The sequence below is a fragment of the Homo sapiens genome, chromosome 14 (assembly GCF_000001405.40).
Source record: "Homo sapiens chromosome 14, GRCh38.p14 Primary Assembly".
Classification (NCBI taxonomy): domain Eukaryota; kingdom Metazoa; phylum Chordata; class Mammalia; order Primates; family Hominidae; genus Homo; species Homo sapiens.
This window is the reverse complement of record NC_000014.9, coordinates 53,833,751-53,851,837: the sequence shown is the minus strand read 5'-3', so window position 1 is coordinate 53,851,837 and position 18,087 is coordinate 53,833,751. Positions and strand designations below refer to the sequence as shown.

At 39.1% G+C, this 18,087-nt stretch overlaps 1 long non-coding RNA gene across 10 annotated transcripts in view, besides 1 other annotated feature; it reads left to right on the top strand.

Moving 5' to 3' along the window:
- Positions 554–1,753: an enhancer, noted in NCBI's record as "MED14-independent group 3 enhancer chr14:54316803-54318002 (GRCh37/hg19 assembly coordinates)". NCBI's record gives its function as "activates an origin of replication core promoter dependent on BRD2, BRD4, P300/CBP and CDK7 cofactors, and independent of MED14, by STARR-seq in HCT116 cells {active_cell/tissue: HCT116}" and the evidence as "EXISTENCE:reporter gene assay evidence [ECO:0000049][PMID:35650434]".
- The window catches only part of LINC02331 (long intergenic non-protein coding RNA 2331), a 165,830-nt gene continuing 148,754 nt past the window's right edge, over positions 1,012–18,087 (top strand). For 6 of the 10 annotated variants that reach the window (NR_184221.1, NR_184218.1, NR_184212.1 and 3 more), the window contains exons 1-2: positions 1,012–1,143; positions 1,868–2,023. This is a non-coding gene — a long non-coding RNA (long intergenic non-protein coding RNA 2331). Of the gene's footprint in view, positions 1,144–1,867; positions 2,117–18,087 lie in introns of all 10 variants that reach the window. The other 4 variants (NR_184214.1, NR_184219.1, NR_184215.1 and 1 more) reach the window with 1 other exon arrangement.

The window sequence follows — 18,087 nt, the reverse complement described above, 5'->3', positions numbered from 1 at the left end:
TTCATTCAGCAAACACGTATTCAGTTCACAGTGCTAGGCACTGTGACAGGCCCCAGAGATAAAAGCTCATCTAATAATATTACCTGCTCTCATGGAAAGCATAAGAGGACACACATGAAAGAAATAAAATGACATGGATACTGTGACAGTAACAAAAATCTGTATATGTTACAGTAAGAGCCCGAAGAGAAGACAAGTCCTGAAAGATCACTCTGTATTCGTTCTGCCCTGTGTCTGCTTGGCAACAGAGAGAATGCTAGCAAACACTGAAAGAGTTGCAATCCTTGCCAATTGCAAGCCCACAAACAGGTGAACATAATATAAGAAAGTGCTAGAAATCGTGACTGCATGTGAACATAGAATGCTATCTTTTGTGTCTAGTATCTGAAATGAGATTGTAATTATTTTCCAAATCTTCAAAAAATGGGCTTTGGAGTTTCCCACAATTTGACTTTTAAATCATAATTCTCTGCTAATGGTTATTTTGGCAAAGTAGAGCCTTATCACGGGGAGAGCCTAAAATCAACCCAGAGGTTAGACAGTTGGGAGAAGGATGGAGTTCCAGGACTTGTCAAAATTAAACACAGCTTTCAGCCCACTTATGCACTCTCTTCGTGAAACATTCTCTTGCATTGACTTTGGCAACGCCTATTTTCCTGGTTTCCTTCTAACTTACCAACATTCCTTCACAGTCTCTTTTGCTGACTCATTATCCTCTATCTTTAATAAGAGGTTTTTCAGGGCCCTTTTATTTTCTCACTATACTCTTTTCCTTGGCCATTGCCTCTTCAACCATGACTTCTATTACAATAGGAATGTCAATCACTTTCACCTGTCTTCAATTTAGATCTTTCCTCTAACACCCGGATATGTAATTCAACTCTTAACTTGATATCTCACTTGGAAGAGTTACAAGCCTCTCTGAAAAAAATCCATACAGGATGGAATGCATGGCATTTTCTCTGAAACTTCCTCCCTGTCCAGTGTTATCTACCTTGGAACGATTGTCTCATTTAGAGGGACTCTCTAACCTGAGTACACATTTGAAACATCTGAGGGCTTTGAAACATACCTGCTCCTGGACCACCTGCTGAACCAATTAAATCAGAATTTCTGTTGTGAAGATCTCCACGTGAGTTTAAGGTACGGCTAGGTTAAGAATTGCTGAATATGTCGCTCAACTTGGAAATCCGTTTGTCTTGATCTCTCCCTTTTCATTATCCTTTCATAGTCAACCACCTGTTGATATTTCATCTACTAAATAGCTCTTGACTCTGTTTTTATCATCAAAGCCATCACCAAGGTACCATCTTCGCTGGTCTGAAATAATCTTCTAACTGTTCTCATTGCCTCTAATCTTAGTTTATATCCATGCCATTGTCCACAATGCAGCCAGGGCGATTTAAATAAATCTGATCAATCACTTCCTTGCTTAAACATTGCACCGGCTTTCTGCTTGATTTTAAAATAAGCCACAGATACTTATGGCCTATACATATGTGAATATAGGGGTAGAGTTTTTGTTTGTTTGTTTTGGTCTGATCAGCAAATTTCCTCATCTCTACTCCTCTGGAACATATTTTCCTGACCCCCAACCTACCGGGTGGGCATATGATCAGGTCTCTTAGGGGTGCGGATGGTGATCCAAGCCTTCCGGGTTATCAAGGGCCCTCCTGCCTTACAATTTTGGGGACTAGAGTAGAAACAGCTTTGCCTCTGGTTTCATAGTGAAAGAGTACGAATTTGAAGCGCTTGGCAACCATCTTTCTCCCCCAACCTCACACGGTCAAACTCAGCACTCCTGACAACTGGGGGAAATCTTCTATGATGAATTAGTTATTTGAGGAATATTTTGTTTATTTTCCAGCTTTCCTGCTCAACTGTTAGTTCCATGAAGGCAACAGCCATGCCTGCTTCGTTCACTGAAATATCTTCGTTTCCTAACACACAGAAAGTCATCATTTTTTGACGGATGAAAGAATGGATGAATGCCTAGTCTTGGAGACATCTACTTGCAATAAAGGTTAGATGAAGGAAATGGATGCCAGTGGGAGATTTGTGGATCTATTTCACCAGATTTCACTCTGCTGACTCAGCAAAATGGTCCCCGAAGAAAGTATGTATGATATATGAATGCCTAGCCACCTGTCTTGGAACAAACAGGGATTTCTTTAGCTTTCTCCCACCAGGAGATGCTCCCCTGGCATTTTTCAATACTCCTCTTCCCTAAAAGGTAAAATTTACGTCCCGATAGTCACAGTGGGCTGCTTTATTGTACAATCTGACATCAGAATGGAAGGAGAGAGTATGCTTTTTAAGTTCCTTAAAATGCAGTTCTATTGAAAATAGCTGTTGAGACAAATAAAATAAGCTGCTAAGGAACAATAAGAGACATGATGGAGTTATAGAAATGTGTTATTGTGTTCCACCCAGAAAATATTATGCAATACAGGGATAAATTTATTCCTGAAGAATTTAAAAAATATTTATATAATCTTCTATGATTTTTGCTTCATAATGCAGTTAATTCACTAGGGCTTTTGCTGTTTGGATGTGGCCATTTGGTTTTGGTGGAAAATAGTTTGACATAGTCTAAAAAGCAAACTCTAAAAATGTATCTATTTTAATTATGAATACATTGTGACTCAGATTTATCCCATCTTTGAACTTCACCCCATCTCCAACTATGCTCCCCAGGGTAGGGATTAGGGCTGAGATGAAATAAGGGATGGGCCAATGACAAGGCGCGGGGAGGGAGGGTATGGAAATGAGGGCTCAAAAGGCTGGCAAACTACGTGGAAAGAGGAATCACATTTTTACCACACTTGCACATCTCAGACGGAGCCACCCATCATTCTAAGTCAGGAGGCTGCTTGTTTTCAGCGAATTCACTTGTATCACATGTACCTCAGTGTCTCAGATTTCTGTCTGAAATGATCATTGTTACTGTCATTTTCTTTTAGTTAATACATAGATGTGTTCATTTAATGGAGATACCCATTCTGTTTTTTTCATTTGAAAAATCTGTAGGATGAACACCCCTGTTTTAAGTTGACAGCTTGATTCTATGAGCCTCTTTGAGTGGTTACAGGTTATCCACTGGGCAAGGTGGAGGTGGTAGTAGGAGGAGGATATTTGCAGCACAATAGGATCTCATATTCTCCAGATTTCATAGAAAACAGTTCAATTTCTAACAGTTTCCTCAGTAGCCCTTTATATTTAAGCATCTAATTTATTGTTAAACTCCTTCAAAATGGAGTTTTTGGGGAAACAGGTGATCAGCCTTATAGTCTAACCCAATCAACTCTAATATACTTTAAAAGCTTGTGCTGTTTTTCTGATTTTAAAATTAGAATATATTCATACAGAATAACATACTTTCTATATTCAAATAATCCAGAAGTGAGATTTTAAAACAGGAACATTCTCCATGATCAAGTTTGTGGTTAGGGATGGAATAAAAGTCAGGAACCAAAGCAAATTGATTGTGAATTGCTGACGCAGAAGCTTCAGGGCCTCTCACTTGCATAGGCTCTTTTAGGAGTCCTAGGAGGGCTCCAGTCATATGTCCATATAGTCCCTTACTTCTGTAAAATGTGTAAAAATAAAATATTTTAACTTCAGCTAATGAAGGCTGTTCTTTCCACTCTCGCCTGCTCTGGAGTGGCACTGGGTTGCCACAGGCATTTTGGAGAGTGGGGTACAGGACAGCTCAGTGGAGGATCCATTTAGGTTCAGGTCAGAGCATCTACTGTTTGCAGTCAGATCCAGGTAGAGCTATTTAGCCAGCTGTTTCGGTGTAGAAATTACTCCCAGGTCCACTCCTACCATCCGTTGCTCCGACTTGCCAACATTATGAAACAAAGGTGTGGAGCTGGAGCTTGCCTGTGGGCACGTGCTCGAGCAATGGCTCCAAGCACTGGAAGTCTGTGGGTGATGGAGAAGAAATACGGTTTGAAATATACAAAGCCAGAAGCTAGTGTGTGTAAGATTTTTCCAATCATCAGGCATGTACAATTTTAACAGAATCATTCAGTGCTCATCAAAACAAGTTCTCTGCTTCCAGGAAGATGCTTAAAAATGTATTTGATAGGCCGGTCACGGTGGCTCATACCTGTAATCCCAGCACTTTGGGAGGCCGAGGCAGGTGGACTGCCTTAGGTCAGGAGTTTGAGACCAGCCTGGCCAACACGATGAAACCCTGTCTCTACTAAAAATACAAAAAATTAGCCGGGTGTGGTGGTGCATGCCTGTAATCCCACTTACTAGGGAGGCTGAGGCAGGAGAATCACTTGAACCTGGGAGGCAGAGGTTGCAGTGAGCAAAGATTATGCCACTGCACTCCAGCCTGGGCAACAAGGTGAGAATCCATCTCAAAAAAAAAAATAAGTATTCAATATATTTAGAGATATTTTGGAAATCTCTCAAGAGCAAATTTATCAGAATTATTATGTTTATAGGACACACATATGTAGCAGTACTACAAACGATCTTTGTGAAGTTACATATTTTATTCATCCCAACATGTCAATTACATGAATGTATTAGAAAAATATTTACATGTCTGACTTAAAATGCTGACAGCAACAATAACATAAAACTTATAAGAAGTACATTGACTAGTTACTCAGTTTTGTTCATTCAAAGAGTATTTAAGGGTTTTCCCTGCATAAAGAAAACTTGAGATGTGCTGAAATCTTACAGTTCATATATGAAAAACCTGATAGAAGTTTCCTCAAATTTGACAACATCCTAAGAATTTATTAATATATGCATTGCCCATAAAAATTATAATGCTAAGAGCAACTTTTCTAAACTATTAGTAATCAAAAATAGATTTTGATCAATGATCCTAGAAGAAAGAGAATTTTGTTTCTCTTTTAAGGATTGATCTTACAAACACAATGACATATGAAGGGATTATCAGGGAAGATAATCAAGAAATATAGTCAAGAAATGTAGAAAAAATTCTTCCGAGGTATGCTAGGCAGTTCATTAAAAAACTGTTCTTTTGTTGATGTTTGTGCTTTTGCAACTTTAAAAAAAATTTGTTGTTTTTTCTCATTTTAAATAAATACTTGCTTTCATACCTAATTTATCCTTTTTTAAAAAAAATCAGATACAAAACTTAGGTCCTACAAGACCTGAATCCAACACTAGTAAGGGATATCATTTTCATGTTTTTGAAAACATGGAGATTTTACATGTTTACAAGGTGGTTTAACATCAAATGGCTGCATTAAAGTGTTAGATCAAAACGCCCTGCTTTGAACCAGACCCATCCCAGGGGTGAGGCTTGGGCATTGCAGGATCAAACCTCATGCTCACAAAGTAAGCCTTTGACTTTATCTCCAAGTGAGCTTGTAACTACAGTTACCGGGAAAGTAGGAGTGATTCATCACGCACCTTTCTGTGTGTGTCCTATTATCACACGACATGCCCAGGATGCCCTTGAGTTGATATTAAAAATAATTATCTTATGGCTAGTACATTATAGTGCACTGGATTTTTTTTCTTGTTAAAGGCATTGCTTTGTTAAATGTAAACATTAAAAAGAGGCCAGTTTCTGTAACCTGGCCTTGACCTTGGGAAGGTTCTGCCATGCCTCTGGCACTGACCCTTGGGCTGAGAAAGTTGTGCTGGTCTAGATTCTGTTTCTTTTCTTGGGTGCCTGGCACACAGTAGGGTCTCAAATATTAGGTTTTTGCTTCCCTCCTCCCTTTACTTTTTTTCTTGGGGCAGTTTTTTTTTTTTTTCTGTCAAGTATGAGGAAACTTTACAAAGCAAAATCATACTAACACATTCCAATTGTATTACCAAATGACTGTCTTTATTAAGCTGTCTAGAACATCAGTGTCCAGGTTATGGCCTGTGCAATACAGTACCTAGGAGCCGTCTTCACACCTGGAGTAGTTTTTCGTTGGTTCACACAGGACTGCAACTAAGCCAAATAACAATAAACTAGAGTACTAGAGTGAAATGCATTTACCGAGAGGAAGACCGAAGAGTGATATACTTAAACTCTAGTCATTATCCTATGGATAGAATAATAGTAAATTATCATAATGCCAAATTGTAAACCCTTTATGATATATAGGGTGCTTCCAAATTCATCTCGCAAAGTCTCTTTAACAACTTTTAAGTGTAGGTATCACCTTTATCCCAATTTTAGAGAGAACGATACAGTGTGAGGAATTAAGTGACTGATCCAAGATACCTTAGCCAGTGAGTAGAGAAGCCAGAAGTTGGACCCAACACTATATGACTTTTATGACCCCTGAGTTTTTAAGGCATTTATATTATTGCTATTGAAGAACAGTACTAATCTTTTTGATAGCCCCTGTCTCTCCCCTTAACTCTACTAAGATGGAAGTCCCTGTGGAAAAAACTTAGATGTAGGATAATCAGCAAGAAGTGGTTCTTGCTCTGAAAAAGTTGACAGTCTGGGGATACATCTGGCTATGTAAACAGTCAACCGTAATACAATGTGTACAGGGATCTAAGCGGCACAAATAAAATGCAAGGAATCAGTGAGCAGAAGAAATCACCAGAGAAGAAAATATTTGTAGTCTATCCCAACTTTAGCCATCAGATGCCTCCATATTGAAGCCCAATTATTAATTTTCATGTGGTTGTAATTAATACAATTACTTAGAATTACGGTACATTAACTTCTGCTGCATCTTGGAGTCACTCCTAAGTTTAAACAGCAAATATATCTGGAGTTGAAGTATTTGAAAGGGATAGAATACAATTTCACCACAGTATTAATGTGTTTTTCCATTTTTCATCCTAGTTATCTGACCTTTAAGTTTATATAGTCTCTTAAATTTTAACATCTTTTCATTGTATTTTCTATTGTAATTAAGTCCTTGTCCTTGAGATCAAAATGAGGCATTTCATGCCATCTAGCTATAGTTAGGCCTTGAATCAGATTTCTGGTTGGAATGAATTACCGTTTTAAATTGTTTTTTTCAATTTTTAATTTTGTTTTTTGTAGAGTTGGGGTCTCACTATGTTGCCCAGGCTAGTCTTGAACTCCTGGACTCAAGAGACCCTCCCCTCGTGGCCTCCCAAAGTGCGGAGATTACAGGCATGAGCCACCACGCCCAGCCCCAAATTACCAAATAAGTGGCTTTCGGTTCTTGCTTTCCCTCCATTTAATCTATTTTTATTTGATTGTGTGGCACCTGAAGAGATACATGGAATTATATATCCTATTAATTGCTGCTCATGAAAAAAATTAAAAGCAAATACTACTGAGTCACATGGAATTAAATCCATCTATGAGGACATAATTTATTTATTTGCCTGAGATTATTTAGGGAGTTTTTTTTGTATTTAAATGAAATTATATGCTGAAATTGTTTTTGCTTTTGTCTGTCAGCATGGTGTCTTGGTTATGAATGCATTCTAGCATTATGAATTTTGTGCGGGTGATTTTCCCAATTCCCCTCTACCACATGTGAAAATAGGATATTTGCTGATGATAAATTCAGACAGATTTCTCTAAGTTTGTCCACTAAGCAACAGACTAAATTAACTGCTTAATTTAAATTTTAAGGGAAGATCCTAGACTTCAATGCCTCCTCCTGCTGAATGTTGTCCCAAATATGCCCCACATAGAAATGCTTTGTCCTTGTCTTATTCCATTCTAGTCTCCTTGCCTTTTAAAAAAAATTTGGCCCCTTCTAACACTCTCTCCCTGCTACCTTAGAGCAGGGACACATGTATTTGCAAAGCCTCTGTTTTCATATTTAATTTTTTTTCTATTTTTCAGAGAGTGGTGTTGCATGTTCCCCACTCTTTTTCTTTTGATGCCTCTCACTCATGTTGCTTGTAGCTTCATTTTGTTTTGTTTGTTCGTTTACTTGAGTTCTTTCTCTCCTCAATATCATTATCCTAGAACATGGACTAAGGACCAATCTTCCTTTTTTCACACCATTCTCTTCCTACCCGTGCACTATATTCACACAATCAGTTCACTTTAAGTGTAAATTGGTGACAAAATTGATAGCCTTTGAGTTACGTGTAGCTCTCAATGTCAGGATTATTTTTCCCAAATTATAAAACTTCTTATTTAATCAGACTTAGAGAAAAGAAATCATTGGCCCACAGACCTGAAATGTCTAGGGGTGGAACTTTTGGCATGTGTGGATCCAGCGGTGCAAACTTCCAACTTCCTCCATGAGGTGGGCTTGGCCAAACTGGCTATTCCCTGACAAATCCAATCGCAGCAGAAGAAAACCTTTTCTTTCCTGATATTGCAATGCAACCTTTCAGATCAGCTCTTGATTGAACCAGTTCGAACCAAAACCAGGAGAATTTAGGTGAGGGAAGTGGTACCCAAATGAAAAGAAGGGTGTTAGTACAGAAGATGGGGGAATGGATGCTGGCTAGGCAACACAAGTGTCCATTATAATCTCCTTCCTAGGCAGACTGTGATCCTTTCAGAGCTCTTGTTTCTGTATTTGGATTTTGAACCCTACCCACCTGTATCAAAAATACCGTGAAATGTGGCATTTTCACTTAATACTAATAGCAAATCATGACTGAAGAGTAACAGGACAGTGGTTTAAATTTCATCACTTTTAGAAATGTGGCAGGAAATAAATGTCTGCTATTTCCCCATCTCTATGGGTACTAACAATAGTTTGGGCGATAAGGAAAGTTCTTGGCAGACTGTGTAATACGGCTCTACTGTTGACCCCACATTCCTGAGCCCTGATACCTTTGTGTACTCTTTAGTCTCAGAATGTGGCTCTATTGCAGAGCTTGCTTGGTGTTGGCCTGGCTCATCTCCGTCCAGAGAAAGGCATGCTGGGTGCTTCACAGTTGGATTATTGCCATTTGATGGTAACACAAATTACTCCCTAATGTGTGTTGTATGTCTTACTAGCTGGGTTGCTTTGCTCAAGAGGCTTAACCTTGCCAATCTTTAGCTAACGTCCTATTAAATTCCTACTTCACAGGGTGGCTTTAAGGGTCATTTGAGTCAATGTGAATGTAACCTGGCACATAGACATTGTGTCGGTAACTGGAGGTTATCATTGGAAACACAATCTGAGAGCACCAGCCTCCTGCTTGGACTTCTAACTCTGCCCTTTCAGAATTTTCTTCTGTCTCATTTTGTCATCACATCTCCTTTACCTGTTCACCTGTTTAATGAATTCTTTTTGAGCTTATTATAGTTTTTATTGCACTTATTGAGTGCACACTACATCTAAGCATCTTAGGTTGTTCATCATTTGATCCTCACAACGAGACTATAGGTAAGTAGTATTTATTTTTTCCATTTGATGGATAGGGACACTGCAGCTTAGAGAGGTTGTACAGAAGGAGGGGGACAATTGATCATTAAGTTTGTGAAGACAGGCCTGGTTTTGGCCAGGCATGGTGGTGCATGCCTGTAATCCCAGCATTTTGGGAGGCTGAGGCAGGATGATCACTTGAGCCCAGGAGGTTGACACTGCAGTGAGCTGATGGCACTGCTGCACTCTAGCCTGAGTGATAGAGTAAGACCCTGTCTCAAAAGAAAAAAAGAAGAAGGAAAAAAGACAGGCCTCAAGCTTGGGTCAGAATCAATCTGATACCCTTGTTCTCATTAAATGTGTGGTTTGGGAACTTCTGTGTGCATAAGAATCACCTACAGTGTATTCAAAGTGCAGATTTTTGGAGCTCACCCTCAAAGGTTCTGATGTGATGGCCCTGGAGTAGGCTAGAGAAGTCTGCATTTACAACAAGATTACCAAGTGATTCTCCACAGGTGGTCTTCAAACCACAGGGCCACAGGTGGACTTCAGATGATTGAACTCCCTTTCTGGGGTTTCCTATCTTTTCCAGTTTCTCTGGGCAAAGGATTGAACTGCACTGCTACCTGAAGGTCCTTAGATCTGCCCTGCTGCCAGCAGCACAGTTGCCTTCTCCTGGCTTCCTACTTTTTCAAACAATTCCTTAACCCTTTGAGTATCCAGCTAATCTGATCTCCCTTTGAATCTTTAGCACCCGAACTTAGGTTGAGAGTGCATATGTTAGCCTTGTTCCTATTAGTATCTGCTGTGCACTTTGCATATAGCAGGAGCTCAACAAATATTCATTCTTTACTATTGTATTGTGCAAATATCCATTTAGTTCTCTTCAATTTATGTGTTCGGTTTTCCTCAACGAGGTTGTAAGATGCTTGAGAAGAAGGACTGGTCTTCAATTTCCTCTGTATTACCTAAGGGCTCTCCATATTTAGAAGATTCTCAGCAAAGATTGCTGACTCATTCAGTTACAATAGAAGGTGTGTAATCCATGTTTGCTGAATTAATTAACCATCCAAAGGTAACCACTATACTTTCATAGATGATGGGATTTTTGTCTCTGGAAATCATTTGAACATTAACACTTGGTTTTCCACCTTAAATATTCAGAGGGGAGGAAACAAAAAATAACCCAATTTTAGCCTCAGAGGTAAAATATTTAACTACTCAACATTCTTTGTTTTGCATAAAGAAATGTTTAACCAAGATTCCTCAGGTTACAGTCAGATGGTCAAATTTTCAAAAACAAATGTGCACACACAAGGAGGCAGGCATGATTTACCTCAAAATGCAACTGCTTGTGGATTATGTCTGTTTATAGGACCTCAAGTTTTTTCTAAAGCTTAGATTAGCTGAATAAGTGCTTTGTTTTTCAGCACAAAAGTCATCATCAAAGACAATTGTTGAAAACCCTGAAGGTCAGTCGTAGCAGAAGTAGTTAGAGGTAGAATTATAAGATAAAATGCCTGCCTTCAAGAAGTTTACAATCTAATTGGAGTGATAGTAAATGAGCATAAATTATAACTGAGAATAAACGATTGCTTGTGTTAGGAATTTCTAGAATCATAAAGATTATCTAGTTCAAACCTCTCACTTTTCAGATAACAGGGTTAGGTTGGAGGAAGAGATACTGAGAGGTAAAATACCGTGGCCAAGGTCATAGAGAATGTAAAACGTTAAAGGCTTAGTCTGAACTAGACCCCTGGTCTCTGTTCTTTTATTTATAGGGCGTTTTCAGACCACAGCAAAACCTAAACTAAGAAAAAAATTTGCATTTTGCCAGAGCATTAACAACCTGATGGGGATGACCAGGACTAGAAGGCTTGTCAGACCAAGGGATTATTAGTCATATCAAGGGGTGAATATCATGGGATTCCAGCCAGGAAGTTAATTACTATGGAGACAGGTGTATGAGTCATACAATTTCAGAGGAGGAGGCAGAGTCCGGGATCTAGAGCAGTGCTGGCCAGTAAAGATATAATTTGAGCCACAAATGGAGGACACATATATAATTTTTAAATTTCTAGAAGCCATGATAAAAAAGTAAAAACAAATAGATGACATTAATATTAATAATATATTTTATTTAACCCAATATCTCTAAAGTATTATTTCAAAATGTAATTAATATAAAAAATAATATATTTTACATTTGCTTTTGTTTATTAAGTCTTTGAAATTCAGTATATGTTTTACACTGATGGGACATCTCAAATGTTTAATAGCAATAAGTGGCTACTGGCTTCCCTTTTGGACAGTAGCAGTCTAGAGGAATCTCACTGATGGAACAAATTAAGCAGTATATGCCAAGAAAATTGACTTGGTCTGAGAATATCCTAGAGAACACTGCTCAAACTATAATATGCATAGAACTCACCTGGGGATCTGACTAAAATTCAGATTCTGATTTACTAGGTGTTATGGCTTGAATGTGTCCCCCAAAAAGCCTGTGTTGGAAACTTATTCCCCAACTCAACAGTGTTGGGAGGACAGGACTAATGGGAGGTGCTTAGGTCATGAAGAGTCTACCTTCATGGATTGACTAATGCTGGTTATAAAAGGGCTTGAGGCTGCAAGTATGATCTCTTGCTTTCTCTCTCACCCTCTGTTGCCCTTCTGCCTTCTGTCATGGAATGCTGCAGCATAAAGGCCCTTGTGAGATGTTGGCTCCTCAATCTTGGTCTTCTCAGCCTCCAGACTTGTAAGAAATAAATCTTAGTTCTTTAACAATTACCCAGTCTCAGGTATTCCATTATAACAGCACAAAACAAACTAAAACACTAAGTCTGAGGTAGGTCTAGGATTCTGCATTTTTAACAAGCTTCAAATGACGCTGATGCCCTGGTCTGACACCCATACTTTGAGTAGGCAGGTTAATCCAGGAGATCAGTCATGGTGGGGAGACATAAACAAATAAGGAAGTTCTAAGTAGTCCAATCAGAATTTTATCAGTAGAGAGAAATGTTTCTCCCCAGTGAGTTCCTTGGTCCATGAAATAGGAACGTCTGTCAATTCTTCTGCCCTCTCAAAGAAGTAAAGGGTGCTTCTTCCACACTCTACCCCCTTTACTATACCCATTCTATAAGACACAGCAGTGACATATCTGAGTGGAGAGATTGGGCAATGGTCTCTGTCCATGAGTGGACTGAGGTCCCACTGCTTTCACCTGCTCAGCGACACCTGTCCTCACACTTGAGCATCCTCTTTCTGCTCCCTTCTCCCATGGGAAGTGCATCTCAGTCATTGCCTAAGTCATTCCTTTCAGACACCTGTATCTTTATTTCCCTATTTTATTCTCATTTATATCTATAGGTGATCAATTTTGGCTGTGCATCCTCACCCAAATCTCATGTCAAGTAGTAATTCCCAATATTTGGGAAGAGACCTGGTGGGAGGTAATTGAATCATGGGGGTAGATTTCCCCCTTGCTGTTCTCATGACAGTGAGTGAGTTCTCACAGATCTGGTTGTTTAAAACTGCATAGCATTTCTCCCCTCACTCTGTCTCTTTTCCTCCTACTCCAACCATGTAAGATGTGCTGGCTTCACCTTTGACTTTTGCCATGATTGTAAGTTTCCTGAGACCTCCCCAGCCATGCTTCCTATACAGCCTGTGGAACCATGAGCCAACTAAACCTCTTTCTTTATAAATGACCCAGTCTCAGGTGCATCTTTATAGCAGTGTGAGAATGGACTAATACAGAAAATTGGTACTAGAGAAGTGGGGCATGGCTATAAAGACACCTGAAAATGTTGAAGCAGCTTTAAAACTGGTTAACAGGCAGATTTGGAACAGTTTGGAGGTCTCAGAAGACGACAGAAAGATGAAGGAAAGTTTGGAACTTCCTAGAGACTTGTTGAATGGTTGTGACCAAAACGCTGTTAGTGATATGAACAGTGAAGTCCAGGCTGAGGAAGTATCAGATGGAGACGAGGAACTTATTAGGAACTGGAGCAAAGGTCACACTTACTGTGCTTTAGCAAACAGACTGGCAGCATTGTGCCCCTGCTCTAGGGATCTGTGGAACTTTGAACTTGAGTGAGATGATTTAGGGTATCCAGTGGAAGACATTTCTTTTCTTTTCTTTTTTTAAAGTATACTTTAAGTTCTAGGGCATATGTGCACAACGTGCAGGTTTGATACATAGGTATACATGTGCCATGTTGGTGTCCCCCAAAACAACTCGTCATTTACATTAGGTATTTCTCCCAATGCTATCCCTCCCCCAGCCCCCAACCCCCAACAGGCCCTGGTGTGTGATGTTCCCCGCCCTGTGTCCAGGTGTTCTCATTGTTCAATTCTCACCTATGAATGAGAACACACAGTGTTTGGTTTTCTGTCCTTGTGATAGTTTGCTGAGAATGATGGTTTCCAGTTTCATCCATGTCCCTGCAAAGGACATGAACTCATCCTTTTTATGGCTGTGTAGTATTCCATGGTGTATATGTGCCACATTTTCTTCATCCAGTCTATCATTGATGGACATTTGGGTTGGATCCAAGTCTTTGCTATTATGAGTAGTGCTGCAATAAACATACATGTACATGTGTCTTTATAGTAGCATGATTTGTAATCCTTTGGGTATATACCCAGTAATGGGATTGCTGGGTCAAATGGTATTTCTAGTTCTAGATCCTTGAGGAATCGCCACACTGTCTTTCTGGTGGAAGACATTTCTAAGCAGCAAAGCATTCAAGATGTGGCCTGGCTGCTTCTAACAGCATATGCTCATATATGTGCACAAAGAGAGGATCTGAAACTGGAACTTATATTTAAAAGGGAAGCAGAGCATAAAAGCTTGCAAAATTTTCAGCCTGACCACGTGGTAGAAAAGAAAAACACATTTTCTTTTTTTTTTTTTTTTGTTTGAGACAGAGTCTCTCTCTGTCACCCAGCCTGGAGTGCAGTGGCCGATCTCGGCTCACTGCAAGCTCCGCCTCCCAGGTTCATGCCATTCTCCTGCCTCAGCCTCCCGAGTAGCTGGGACTACAGGCGCCCGCCACCACGCCCAACTAAATTTTTGTATTTTTAGTAGAGACGGGGTTTCACCATGTTAGCCACGATGGTCTCGATCTCCTGACCTCGTGATCCGCCCGTCTCAGCCTCCCTAAGTGCTGGGATTATTACAGGCATGAGCCACCGTGCCCGGCCTACCGAAAAATACATTTTCTTAAGAGGAATTCAAGGCTGCGGAAATTTGCATAAGTACAGAGGAGCCAAATGTTAATAACCGAGACAGTGGGGAAATGCCTGCAGGGCATTTCAGAGACCTTCACAGCAGCCCCTTCCATCACAGGCCTGGAGGCCTAAGAGGGAAACATAGTTTTGTGCACCAGGTGCAGGGCCCCCGCTGATCTTTGCAGCCTCAGGACATGGCACTCTGTATCCTAGCCACTCCAGCTCCAGCTGTGGCTAAAAGTGGCCTAGGTACAGCTTGGTCTGTTGCTTCACAGGGTGGAAGCCCCACATGGTGTTGGGGCTGCAGGTACACAGAGGGTAAGAGTTGAGGTTTGGGAGCCTCTGCCTAGCTTTCAGAGGATATATGGAAATCACTTTTGTGTACTATGGAAAGAGTTGGGTAAGGGGTGTAGAGCATGGAAGAATCACCCTTTATTTCTTTGAGAGGGCAGAATGACTGGTAGAAGTTCCTATTTCATGAGCCAAGAAACTCAGTGAGGAGAAACATTTCCCTTTGCTGATAAAATTCTCATTGGCCTACTTAGAACTTCCTTATTTATTTATGTCTCCTCACCATGGTTAATATCCCAGATTAACCTAGCTCTCTAAGTGTGGGTGACCGACCAGGGCATCAGCATCACCTGAAGGCTTGTTAGAAATGCAGAATCCTAGACTTATCCCAGACCTAATGAATCAGCGTCTGCATTTTAATCAGATCTCTAGGTAAGACCTGTGGGTATTAAGTTTCTATGTAAATGTGGGTCTGTGTCTGGGCTATGCATCTTGTCCCATTGGCCTATTTGTCTATAACTATTTTAATAAATACATAACACTTTTTTTTAGTTCCAAGAAGTTTATAATAAATCTTGATATTTTATAAAGAAAATCTTCTGATGGGATTCAGGAAAACAATACCCTAGAATATTTTAAGCTGAAATAACTTGAGAAAATGACTGAAACAGGAAGGTCATGCTCACCTTTCCCAGCCCTTCTTCCCCAAAGCAGGTCATAAAATCTGGGAAGGATCATCTGACCTTCCCCTGCGGCAGGTCCTAAGACCCTCATTGAGAGGCACCCTCTTCAGACTTGGAGGAAAAAAGTATCCTTATCTCTAAAGATCCCTCCTGAGTGACTTGCTGCTGTATTCAAGATAATGAGTGAGTTCTTGTTCTGTGTTCACATGAGATTTGGTTGTTTAGGGTTCACAGACAAGAATCTGAAGAAATAGGCCTTGCAAACTTCCCCCCAGTTCATTACCATTAGCTGATACCCTTTTTGCCCTACCATTTTTCTCCACATTTTTCCCGCTCTTCATCAAACCTAGCTTAAAGATATACAGATTTATCCATTTCTTCAGGTGTTCATTTTCTTGTGAAGGCTTCTATGTCACATAAAACTTATTAAATAAATTTATATGCTTTTCTTGTTAATTTATCCTTTGTTATAGGAGCCTCAGCCATAAGCCTAAGGAAGGTGAAGGAAAAAATACTGTTTTCTTCCTTGTATTATCTGCCCCCCAACCCATATTGTTTTTCATGTTAATGGTATTAAATTGATTAGTTTCTGCAATTTGATTCTTTTGTGTAAATTTTAGAATAAGTTTGTTAAGTTTTATGAAAATCTTTAAGGGAATTTTATTGAGTTGCACTGAAATTATGGATTATTGAAATAGATATCTTTATAGACCATAAAAAGAGTTGATGTCTGTTTGATAATGCATAGTCCTAAGTCTCTTTCTTTAATTTGATTTTTTATAACTTTGTAGGAATCCATCATTGGATTGGATCCATCATCATTTCACTTTATAACATAACTCCAAAAAGACCATTATTTCCATTTTCTTGGGGGTGTTTATACGTTGTAGTTCTTATATAGCTTGGATAGTTTAATAGTGGTATTTTTTAATGTGCTAAGGAATGCTATAAAGGGTGTGAGTGACTCTAGGGACAAGTGGGAAAATATTTAAACTATGGGAGGGGAAAAGACAATTCAGGTTAGAATTGCCAGATAAAATATAGGACACTTTATTAAATTTAACTTTAGATAAACAATAAATTTTGTTTTAGTGTGAGTATGTTTTATGCAATATTTGTGAACTTGTCAGGGTAATCAGCAGAACAGCTTAGCTAGAAAAGAAGATATTATTGCGATTCCAACAGGTAGAGACAATGGAATGCTGGAGTCAAGTCATACTGGCTCATGGGAGAGCTGATTGTTAAATTTCTAAGAGTTTTGTGAGTCAGTTGTTAAGCCGTTGGTAGCTCAAAATTAGTAATGGTGGGTGCATGCACACCAGAGAAATAGGCCCCTTTCCCAGTTGTTTAGCATCGATCAGCACATCAGTGGATAGAGCTGAGTTGGCCAAATTATGAAAGTCTTGAGTTCCATTCTAAGGAATGGGCACCTACTGAAGATTTTGAGTAGGCAGATAACACAGTTAAAAAATTATACCAGGAAAATTAATCTGATAGCAGTGGATTTGTGAGACAGATTAGAATGAAAGAGATTGAGTCAGGGAATTCTTATAATGAACCAAGTTTGAGGCGAGTAGACTTGAGTAAGAAAGATGACAGGAGAAAGGAAAGAAGTTAAATGCTAAGAACATTGGAAAAGGGAGGATTTGAAAGAGTTGTGACTGTCTTTTTTCACTCAATCTCTATGTCTGCAGATGTTTGAGTATAATGTTTCAAGCCTGAGAGAAAGGGAAAATGTTGGCGTACTTGGCAGATAAAGAATGATGTTCAGGGAAGTCCATTTGGGAATAGATGTGGCAGTAGAGGCTGTGAATAGATTTGCTCTCTAATGAAAACTGTGTCAAGAGAGGAGAATGAAGGGACTGTTAATTAGTGGAAGTCCCTTGTGTTTTTTGCTCTTTTCTTAATGTCATGTTTCAATGAAGTATAATTTATATACAATCAATGCACAGATTTTAAGTGTATAGTTCTGTGAGAGTTTTGAGACATATTTACATCCATGCAATAAACATCTTAATCAAGATATAAAGCATTTCTGACAGCTCAGGTTTCCTTATGTCTCCAGTTCCCTCCACCCCAGATATAACCACTGTTCTGACTTCCATTATCATAGATAATGTTCTTGAATTTAATTTAAATGAAATCCTGAAGTATATTCTCTTTTGTGTCTGGGTTCTTCCGTTCAGCATAATGATTCTGAGATCCATCCATGCTTTCATGTGTATGAGTAGTGTTTTTTAAATTAACATCTACAGTTTATAATATAAATATACAACTTGCTCATCCATTATCCTATTCGTGAACATTTGGGCTGTTTCTACTTTGGGGCTATTATAAATATGAGTGCTATAAGGATTTTTGCACAAATATTTTTGTGGGCATGTAGTTTCATTTATCTAGAGTATATAACTAGGAATGTAATTACTGTATCATATGTTAAACCTATGCTTAACTTTAAAAGAAACTGTCAAAGCGTTCTCCAGAGTAGTTATATCACTTTATACTGTCACTAGCAAGGTAATAGAGTTTCAGTTACTCAACATTTTCACCACCTTACTAATATTTTGTATCTATATTCATAAAAATGTTGGATATTGGTCAATAAATTTTATTTCCTTTTTTGTGCTATA